The sequence below is a fragment of the Homo sapiens genome, chromosome 3, assembly GCF_000001405.40.
Source record: "Homo sapiens chromosome 3, GRCh38.p14 Primary Assembly".
Taxonomy (NCBI): Eukaryota; Metazoa; Chordata; class Mammalia; order Primates; family Hominidae; genus Homo; species Homo sapiens.
Window position 1 is genome coordinate 98,859,619 of NC_000003.12, and position 12,026 is coordinate 98,871,644.

At 37.7% G+C, this 12,026-nt stretch overlaps 1 protein-coding gene across 3 annotated transcripts in view; it reads right to left on the bottom strand.

Moving 5' to 3' along the window:
• DCBLD2 (discoidin, CUB and LCCL domain containing 2) overlaps nt 1-12,026 on the bottom strand; it is a 105,755-nt gene that overhangs the window by 63,678 nt on the left and 30,051 nt on the right. The window lies entirely within an intron of this gene.

Genomic DNA, 12,026 nt, shown 5'->3' on the forward strand with positions numbered 1-12,026 from the left:
TGGAGTGGACCTCCAGAAAACTCCAACAGACCTCAGCTGAGGGCTATGACTGTTAAAAGGAAAATTAACAAACAGAAAGGACATCCACACCAAAACCCCATCTGTATGTCACCAACATCAAAGACCAAAGGTAGATAAAACCACAAAGATGGGGAAAAAACAGAGCAGAAAATCTGAAAATTCTAAAAATCAGAGCACCTCTCCCCCCACAAAGGAACGCAGCTCCTCGCCAGCAACGGAACAAAGCTGGACGGAGAATGACTTTGACGAGTTGAGAGAAGAAGGCTTCAGACCATCAAACTTCTCTGAGCTAAAGGAAGAAGTTTGAACACAACACAAAGAAGCTAAAAACCTTGAGAAAAGATTAGACGAATGGCTAACTAGAATAACCAGTGTAGAGAAGTCCTTAAATGACCTGATAGAGCTGAAAACCATGGCATGAGAACTACGTGACGAATGCACAAGCTTCAGTAGATAATTCAATCAACTGGAAGAAAGGGTATCGGTGATAGAAGATCAAATGAATGAAATGAAGCCAGAAGAGAAATTTGGAGAAAAAAGACTAAAAAGAAATGAACAAAGCCTCCAAGAAATATGGGACTAGGTGAAAAGACCAAATCTACGTCTGATTGGTGTACCTGAAAGTGATGGGGAGAATGGAACCAAGTTGGAAAACACTCTGCAGGATATTATCCAGGAGAACTTCCCCAACCTAGCAAGGCAGGCCAACACTCAAATTCAGGAAATACAGAGAATGCCACAAAGATACTCCTCGAGAAGAGCAACTTCATGACACATAATTGTCAGATTCACCAAAGTTGAAATGAAGGAAAAAATGATGAGAGCAGCCAGAGAGAAAGGTTGGGTTACCCACGAAGGGAAGCCCATCAGACTAACAGCAGATCTTTCAGGAGAAACTCTACAAGCCAGAAGACAGTAGGGGCCAATATTCAACATTCTTAAAGGAAAGAATTTTCAACCCGGAATTTCATATCCAGCCAAACTAAGCTTCATAAGTGAAGGAGAAATAAAATACTTTACAGACAAGCAAACGCTGACAGATTTTGTCACCACCAGGCCTGCCCTAAAAGAGCTCCTAAAGGAAGCACTAAACATGGAAAGGAACAACCAATACCAGCCACTGCAAAAACATGACAAATTGTAAAGACCATCAATGCTTGGAAGAAACTGCATCAACTAACAAGCAAAATAACCAGCTAACATCACAATGACAGGATCAAATTCACACATAACAATATTAACCTTAAATGTAAATGGGCTAAATGCTCCAATTAAAAGACATAGACTGGCAAATTGGATAAAGAGTCGAGACTCATCAGTGTGCTGTATTCAGGAGACCCATCTCACATGCAGAGACACACATAGGCTCAAAATAAGGAGATGGAGGAAGATCTACCAAGCAAATGGAAAACACAAAAAGGCAGGGGTTGCAATCCTAGTCTCTGATAAAACAGACTTTAAACCAACAAAGATTAAAAGAGACAAAGAAGGCCATTACATAATGGTAAAGGGATCAATTCAACAAGAAGAGCTAACTATCCTAAATATATATGCAGCCAATACAGGAGAACCCAGATTCATAAAGCAAGTCCTTAGAGATCTACAAGGAGACTTAGACTCCCACACAATAATAATGGGAGACTTTTAACACCCCACTGTCAGCATTAGACAGATCAATGAGAAAGAAAGTTAACAGGGATATCCAGGAATTGAACTTAGCTCTGCACCAAGCAGACCTAACACACATCTACAGAACTCTCCACCCCAAATCAACACAATATACGTTCTTCTCAGCACCACATTGCACTTATTCCAAAATTGACCACATAGTTGGAAGTAAAGTACTCCTCAGCAAATGTAAAAGAACAGAAATCATAACAAACTGTCTCTCAGACCACAGTGCAATCAAACTAGAACTCAGGATTAAGAAACTCACTCAAAACCGCTCAACAACGTGGAAACTGAACAACCTGCTCCTGAATGACTACTGGGTACATAACGAAATGAAGGCAGAAATAAATATGTTCTTTGAAACCAACGAGAACAAAGACACAACATACCAGAATCTCTGGGACACATTTAAAGCAGTGTGTAGAGGGAAATTTAAGCACTAAATGCCCACAAGAGAAAGCAGGAAAGATCTAAAATGGACACCCTAACATCACAATTAAAAGAACTAGAGAAGCAAGAGCAAACACATTCAAAAGCTAGCAGAAGGCAAGAAATAACTAAGATCAGAGAAGAACTGAAGGAGATAGGGACACAAAAAAACCTTCAAAAAATCAATGAATCCAGGAGATGGTTTTTTGAAAAGATCAACAAAATTGATAGATTGCTAGCAAGACTAATAAAGAAAAGAGAGAAGAATCAAATAGACGCAATAAAAAATGATAAAGGGGATATCACCACCGATCCCACAGAGATACAAACTACCATCAGAGAATACTACAAACACCTCTACGCAAATAAACAAGAAAATCTAGAAGAAATGGATAAGTTCCTGGACATGCACACCCTCCCAAGACTAAACCAGGAAGAAGTTGAATCCCTGAACAGACCAATAACAGGCTCTGAAATTGAGGCAATAATAGCCTACCAACCAAAAAAAGTCCAGGACCAGACAGATTCACAGCCAAATTCTACCAGAGGTACAAGGAGGAGCTGGTACCATTCTTTCTGAAAGTATTCCAATCAATAGAAAAAGAGGGAATCCTCCCTAACTCTTTTTATGAGGCCAGCATCATCCTGATACCAAAGCCTGGCAGAGACACAACAAAAAAAGAGAATTTTAGACCAATATCCCTGATGAACATCGATGCAAAAATCCTCAATAAAATACTGGCAAACCGAATCCAGCAGCACATCAAAAAGTTTATCCACCACGATCAAGTGGGCTTCATCTCTGGGATGCAAGGCTGGTTGAACATATGCAAATCCATAAACGTAATCCAGCATATAAACAGAACCACATACAAAAACCACATTGATTATCTCAATAGATGCAGAAAAGGGGTTTGACAAAATTCAACAGCCTTTTATCCTAAAAACTCTCAATAAATCATGTATTGATGAGACGTGTCTCAAAATAATAAGAGTTATTTATGACAAACCCACAGCCAATATCACACTGAATGGGCAAAAACTGGAAGCATTCCCTTTGAAAACTGGTGCAAAACAGGGATGCCCTCTCTCACTACTCCTATTTCATATAGTATTGGAAGTTCTGGCCAGGGCAATCAGGCAGGAGAAAGAAATAAAGGGTATTCAGTTAGGAAAAGAGGAAGTCAAATTGTCCCTGTTTGCAGATGACATGATTGTATATTTAGAAAACCCCATCATCTACGCCCAAAATCTTCTTAAGCTGATAAGCAACTTCAGCAAAGTCTCAGGATACAAAATCAATGTACAAAAATCACAGGCATTCTTATATACCAATAACAGACAAACAGAGAGCCAAATCATGAGTGAACTCCCATTCACAACTGCTTCAAAGAGAATAAAATAACTAGGAATCCAACTTACAAGGGATGTGAAGGACCTCTTCAAAGAGAACTACAAACCACTGCTCAACAAAAGAGGTCAACAATTGGAAGAACATTCCAGGCTCATGGAGAGGAAGAATCAATATCATGAAAATGGCCATACTGCCCAAGGTAATTTATAGATTCAATGCCATCCCCATCAAGCTACCAATGACTTTCTTCACAGAATTGGAAAAAACTACTTTAAAGTTCATATGGAACCAAAAAAAAGCTGCATTGCCAAGACAATCCTAAGCCAAAAGAACAAAGCGGGAGGCATCAAGCTACTTGACTTCAAACTATACTACAAGGCTACAGTAACCAAAACAGCATGGTACTGGGACCAAAACAGAGATATAGACCAATGGAACAGAACAGAGCCCTCAGAAATAATACCATACATTTACAACCATCTGATCTTTGACAAACCTGACAAAAACAAGAAATGGGGAAAGGATTCCCTATTTAATAAATGGTGCTGGGAAAACTGGCTAGCCATATGTAGAAAGCTGAAACTGGATCCCTTCCTTACACCTTATACAAAAATTAACTCAAGATGGATTAAAGACTTAAATGTTAGACCTAACACCATAAAAACCCTAGAAGAAAACCTAGGCAATACCATTCAGGACATAGGCATGGACTTCATGTCTAAAACACCAAAAGCAATGGCAACAAAAGCCAAAATTGACAAATGGGATCTAATTAAACTAAAGAGCTTCTGCACAGCAAAAGAAACTACCATCAGAGTGAACAGGCAACCTACAGGATGGGAGAAAATTTTTGCAATCTACTCATCTGACAAAGGGCTAATATTGAGAATCTACAAAGAACTCAAACAAATTTACAAGAAAAAAACAACCCCATCAACAAGTGGGCGAACGATATGAACAGACACTTCTCAAAAGAAGACATTTATGCAGCCAAAAGACACAGAAAAAAATGCTCATCATCACTGGCCATCAGAGAAATGCAAATCAAAACCACAATGAGATACCACCTCACACCAGTTAGAATGGTGATTATTAAAAAGTCAGGAAATAACAGGTGCTGGAGAGGTTGTGGAGAAATAGGAACACTTTTAAATTGTTGGTGGGACTGTAAACTTGTTAAACCATTGTAGAAGACAGTGTGGCAATTCCTCAAGTATCTAGAACTTAAAATACCATTTGATCCAGCCATCCCATTACTGGGTATATACCCAAAGGATTATAAATCATGTTGCTGTAAAGGCACATGCGCATGTATGTTTATTGTGGCACTATTCACAATAGCAAAGACTTGGAACCAACCCAAATGTCCATCAATGATAGACTAGATTAAGAAAATGTGGCACATATACACCATGGAATACTATGCAACCATAAAAAAAGATGAGTTCATGTCCTTTGTAGGGACATGGATGAAGCTGGAAACCATCATTCTCAGCAAACTATCGCAAGAACAAAAAACCAAACAGCGCATGTTCTCACTCATAGGTGGGAATTGAACAATGAGAACACTTGGACACAGGCAGGGGAACATCACACTCTGGGGCCTGTTGTGGGGTGGGTGGAGGGGGGAGAGAAAGCATTAGGAGATATACCTAATGTAAATGACGAGTTAATGGGTGCAGCATACCAACATGGCTCATGCATACATATGTAAAAAACCTGCACACTGTGCACACGTATCCTAGAACTTAAATAATAATAAAAAAAGAAAAAATGTTCTGCACCGTTAAACACCAAGGAAATGAAAATAAAACCACAATGAGATATCACCTCATGCTTCCTAGAATGGCTACTATCAAAAAGACAAAAGTGTTGACAAGAATGTGGAGAAAATGGTACACTTCTACACTATTGGTGGGAATCTAAATTAGTATAGCTGTTATGAAAACCAGTATGGAAGTTCCTCAAAAAATTAAAAATAAAACTACCATATGATCCAGTAATTTTACTACTGGGTATACATATCCAAAGAAAATGAAATCAGTATGTTGAAAAGATACCTACACTCCCATGTTCACTGCTGCATTATTCACAATAGCCAAGATATGGAATCAATCTAAATGTCCATCAGTAGATGAATGGATAAAGGAAATGTGGTATATGAACACAACAGAGTACTATTCAGCCTGTATTAAAAAAAAAAGAAACCCTGACATTTCTAACAACATGGATGAAACTGGAGGATATGATGTTAAGCGAAATAAGCAAGGCATAGAAAGACAAATACTACATGATCCCACTCACATGTAGAATCTAAAAAAGACAAACTCACAGAAGCAGAGAGTAGAACGGGTTGAAGGGGGAGTTGGAGGGATGAGCTGGAGAGATGTTGGTCAAGGGACACAAAAATTTCAGTTACATAGGAGTGATAAGTTAAAAAGAAACACTGTATAACAGTGTATTGTATAGTTAAAAATTGCTAAGAGATTTTTTAAGTGTTCTCACCACAAAAACGTTAAGTACGTGAGGTAATGCATTTATTAGTCTGATTGACCCATTCTACAATGTATACACATATGAAAACATAATGTACAGCATATATACAATTTTCTTTTTTTATATATATATTTTGTATTATACTTTAAGTTCTAGGGTACATGTGCACAACGTGCAGGTGACATATGTATACATGTGACACGCTGGTGTGCTGCACCCATTAACTCGTCATTTACATTAGGTATATCTCCTAATGCTATCCCTCCTCCCTCCCCCCACCCCATGACAGGCACCGGTGTGTGATGTTCCCCTTCCTGTGTCCAACTGTTCTCATTGTTCAATTCCCACCTATGAGTGAGAACATGCGGTGTTCGGTTTTTTGTCCTTGTGATAGTTTGCTGAGAATGATGGTTTCCAGCTTCATCCATGTCCTTACAAAGGACATGAACTCATCATTTTTTATGGCTGCATAGTATTCCATGGTGTATATGTGCCACATTTTCTTAATCCAGTCTATCATTGATGGACATCTGGGTTGGTTCCAAGTCTTTGCTATTGTGAATAGTGCCGCAATAAACAGACGTGTGCATGTGTCTTTATAGCAGCATGATTTATAATCCTTTGGGTATATACCCAGTAATGGGATGGCTGGGTCAAATGGTATTTCTAGTTCTAGATCCCTGAGGAATCGCCACACTGTCTTCCACAATGGTTGAACTAGTTTACACTCCCACCAACAGTGTAAAAGTGTTCCTATTTCTCCACAACCTCTCCAGCACCTGTTATTTCCTGACTTTTTAATGATCACCATTCTAACTGGTGTGAGATGGTATCTCATTGTGGTTTTGATTTGCATTTCTCTGATGGCCAGTGATGATGAGCATTTTTTCATGTGTCTTTTGGCTGCATAAATGTCTTCTTTTGAGAAGTGTCTGTTCATATCATTTGCCCACTTGTTGATGGGGTTGTTTTTTTCTTGTAAATTTGTTTGAGTTCTTTGTAGATTCTCAATATTAGCCCTTTGTCTGATGAGTAGATTGCAAAAATTTTCTCCCATTCTGTAGGTTGCCTGTTCACTCTGATGGTAGTTTCTTTTGCTGTGCAGAAGCTCTTTAGTTTAATTAGATCCCATTTGTCAATTTTGGCTTTTGTTGCCATTGCTTTTGGTGTTTCAGACATGAAGTCCTTGCCCATGCCTATGTCCTGAATGGTACTGCCTAGGTTTTCTTCTAGGGTTTTTATGGTTTTAGGTCTAACATTTAAGTCTTTAATCCATCTTGAATTAGTTTTTGCATAAGGTGTAAGGAAGGGATCCAGTTTCAGCTTTTTACATATGGCTAGCCAGTTTTCCCAGAACCATTTATTAAATAGGGAATCCTTTCCCCATTTCTTGTTTTTGTCAGGTTTGTCAAAGATCAGATGGTTGTAGATGTGTGGTATTATTTCTGAGGGCTCTGTTCTGTTCCATTGGTCTATATCTCTGTTTTGGTCCCAGTACCATGCTGTTTTGGTTACTGTAGCCTTGTAGTATAGTTTGAAGTCAGGTAGCCTGATGCCTCCCGCTTTGTTCTTTTGGCTTAGGATTGACTTGGCAATGCCAGCTCTTTTTTGGTTCCATATGAACTTTAAAGTAGTTTTTTCCAATTCTGTGAAGAAAGTCATTGGTAGCTTGATGGGGATGGCATTGAATCTATAAATTACCTTGGGCAGTATAGCCATTTTCACGATATTGATTCTTCCTATCCATGAGCATGGAATGTTCTTCCATTTGTGTCCTCTTTTATTTCATTGAGCAGTGGTTTGTAGTTCTCCTTGAAGAGGTCCTTCACAGCCCTTGTAAGTTGGATTCCTAGGTATTTTATAAAATATGTACAATTTTCATGTCACTTAAAAAATCATTAAATAAGAAGTATTAAAACTATAATCCAATTCAATTTTCTAGAAATAAAGGAAGACTTGAATTTACATACTGAAAGGGTCCACTGGGTACCAGTGAAAACCTGTAATGATCAACTTCAACACATATCCTTAGAAAACTAATAGACTTTAAAGGTAAAGAAAAAAATCCTCATGGTCACTGTACAAAAACCAAATACCTTATAATGGCAGGAGAGTTCAATTGTCATCAGACTTCTCAAAAAACAATATGAAGTAAGGGAATCATGGAAAAGCATTTTTTTTAACTCAAAGAAATAACATTTGTTTTTGTTGTTTTTTGTTTTTTTTTTTTTGAGACGGAGTCTCGCTCTGTCACCCAGGCTGGAGTGCAGTGGCACAATCTTGGTTCACTGCAAGCTCCGCCTCCCAGGTTCATGCCATTCTCCTGCCTCAGCCTCCTGCATAGCTGGGACTACAGGTGCCTGCCACCGCGCCCGGCTACTTTTTTTGTATTTTCAGTAGAGACGGGGTTTCACCTTGTTAGCCAGGATGGTCTCGATCTCCTGACCTTGTGATCTGCCCACCTCAGCCTCCCAAAGTTCTGGGATTACAGGCGTGAGCCACCGTGCCCGACCAGAAATAACATTTGAATCCAAGATTTAAATACTATCAAGCAGCCCCCTGAAGCCTAAAGGCCATAAAAAATTTACAAAGTAAGCAGTTTTAAACATGCAAAATCTGCAACATAAGCCCTTCTTAAGGAATCAACCTATTCAAAGATGAACTTCATCCAAACAATAGACTAGTGGGAGGACTTGAGGAAAAAGACAGTGATCATTTATTATATTTAATTATAGATCTAGAAAAGTTAGAGATGGGGTTGAAGAATAAGAAGATATGATACATGCTGTGTGTTATGAATGTATATTCTGAGAGTGCTATGATTTGGACATGGTTTGTCCCCATGAAATCTCATGTTGAAATTTATTTATATATTTTTTTAATTTTCAATAGCTTTAGGGGTACAAGTAGTTTTTGTTACACAGATAAATTTTATAGTGGTGAAATCTGAGCTTTTAGTGTACCCATCACCCAAATAGTGTACAGTGTACCCAACAGGTGATTTTTTAATCCCTTACCACCCTCCCCCTTTCTGAGTCTCCGATGTCCATTACAGCATTCTGTATGCTGTTATTTATCCACAAGGTTAGTCCCCCCTTGTGAGAACATATGGTACTTGGTTTTCTGTTCCTGAGTTACTTTACTTAGGATAATGATCCCCAGTTCTATCCAAGGAGCTGCGAAGACATTATTTCATTCTTTTTAAGGGTGAGTAGTATTCCACTGTGTCTATATGTTTACATCATATATATATAACATTTTCTTTATCCACTCATTGGTTTGATGGACTCTTAGGTTGATTCCGTATCTTTTCCATGGTGAATTCTACTATGATAAACATACTAGTGCAGGTATCTTTTTGATATAATGACATATTTTCCTTTGGGCAGATATCAGTAGTGAGACTGCTGAACTGAATGGTAGATCTGTTAGTTCTTTGATAAATTTCCATACTGTTTTCCACAGAGGTTGAACTAATTTACATTCTCACCAACAGTGTATAAGTGTTCCCTGTCTGCGCCAACATCTATTGTTTTTTGACTTCTTAATGGCCATTCTGACTAGGGCAAAGTGGTATCTTACTGCAGTTTTAATTTGCATTTCTGTGATGACTAGTGATGTTGAGCATTTTTCATATGTTTGTTAGTCTTTTGTGTATCTTCTTTTGAGAAATGTCTGTTCATGTTGTTTGTCTACTTTTTAAGGGATTATTTATTTTCTTGCTAATTTCAGTTCCTTGTAGATTACGGACATTAGTCCTTTGTCAGATGTATAGTTTACAAATATTTTCTCCCATTCTGTAGGTTCTCTGTTTACTCTGCAGATTATCTCTTTTGCTGTACAAAGCTTTTCAGTTTGAGTCCCATTTATTTATTTTTGTTGCATTTGCTCTGTCTCTTACTAATAAATTCTCTGCCTACGCCAATATCCAGAATTTTTCCTAGGGCTTCTTCTAAAATTGTTATGGTTTCAGGTCTTACATTTGACCCTTTTCCTGTTTTCAAAAAAAGGTGTGGCTTGCTGCCAGCGCTCATTTAATTTTACATAAACACGTTCTTTGAGGCTGAAGCAAATCTGACTGATAGTCAATGTGAAAATAAAATATAAAAACTGTTCTTGGAGTTATTTCTAAACAGAACTAACATTAGAATTGTCTGAATCATCAGAATAATCTATTTCAGAAAAACTGAATTCATGAAACTAATCCTTGGCCAACAACTTTTCATGAACAATGTTAGCATCATGTGTAGGAATGCTGTTTTCTAAGATTTGACATTTTCAGTGGCTGAGATTTTATTTTGTAAGTGGAAATACCGCTACTAAAAATGGAGTGCTATAAATAGGATAATGTCTTTTGTTTCCAAAGTTGATATACTAGAGCAATGCAAAAATAATAATCATAGGGTGCTATTTTGTGGCAAATTTACTTTGGGGTAAATGATGCAGCCGCAAGTGCCACTGGTGAGTATTCTCAGAGCAAATGGGGAAAGGGTTAAGTCTTTAATCCATCTTGAGTAAATTTTTGTAGACGGTGAGAGATAGGGAACCAGTTTCATTCTTCTGTGTATGGCTATCCAATTTTCCAGCACCACTGAATGAATAGGGTGTCCTTTCCCCCATTGTATGTTTCAGTCTGCTTTGTCAAAGATCAGTTGGTTGTAGTTATTTGGCTTTATATCTGGGTTCTCTATTCTGTTTCATTGGTATATGTGTCTATTTTTATACCAGTTGTCATACTGTGTTGATTACTGTAGCCTTGCAGTATAACTTAAAGATAGCTAATGTGATGCCCCCAGATTTCTTTTGTTTGCTCAGGACTGCTTTTGCTATTCAGGATTTTTGGTTTTATTTGAATTTAGGATTTTCTTTTCTAATTCTGAGAAAAATGGTGTTTTTGGCAGGATATGATGGCACACACCTGTAGTTCCAGCTGCTTGGGAGGCTAAGGCAGGAGGCTGAGGCTGAAGTAAGCCAAGATTGCACAACTGCACTCCAGACTGGGTGACAGAGTAAGATGGAAAGGAAAGGGAAAGGGAAAGGGAAATGGAAGGAAGAAGAGATAGAGAAAGAGAGAGAGAGAGAGAGAGAGAAATAGAGAAAGAAAAAGAGAGAGAAAAAAAGAAAGAAAAAGGAAAAGAAAAGAAAGAAAAAGAAAGAAAGAAAGAAAGAAAGAAAGAAAGAAAGAAAGAAAGAAAGAAAGAAAGAAAGAAAGAAAGAAAGAAAGGTAGGCAGGCATTGGTGGTATTTTGATAGGAACTCTACTGAATCTGTAGATTGTTTTGGGCAGTATGGTCATTTTCACAATATTGATTCTTTTAATTCATGAACATAGGAGGTTTTCTATTTGTTTGTATCATCTATGGTTTCTTTCATCAGTGTTTTGCAGTTCTATGTGTAGAGATCTTTCACCTCTTTGGTTAAGTATATTCCTAGGGTTTTTTTTTTTCCTTTTTTTGCAACAATTGTAAATGGGACTGAGTTCTTGATTTGATTCTGCTTGGTCATTATTGGTATATAGCAGTAGTACTGATGTGTGTATGGTGATTTTGTAACCTGACACTTTACAGATTCATTTATCCAATCTAGGAGATTTTGGAGGAGTCTTTAGAATTTTCAAGGTATAAGATCACATCATCAGCAAACAGAGATAGCTTGATTTCTCTTTTCTAACTTAGATGCCCTTTATTTCTTCTCTTGCCTGACTGTTCTAGCTAGAACTTCCAGTACTACGTTGAATAAAAGTGGCAGAAGTGGGCATTCTTGTCTTGTTCCAGTTCTTAGGAAGAATGCTTTCAGTTTTTCCTCATTCAGTATGTTGGCTGTGAGTTTGTCATATATGGCTTTTATTATTTTAAGGTATGTTCTTTCTGTGCCTAGTTTGTTGAGGAGTTTTATCATGAAGGGATGCTCAATTTTATCAAATGCTTTTTCTTCATCTACTGAAATGATTTTTTTTTGTTTTTAATTATATTTATGTGGTGAATCACATTTGTTGATTTGCATATGTCAAATCATCCTTGCATTCCTGGTATGAAACCCACTTGATGCTGAATTA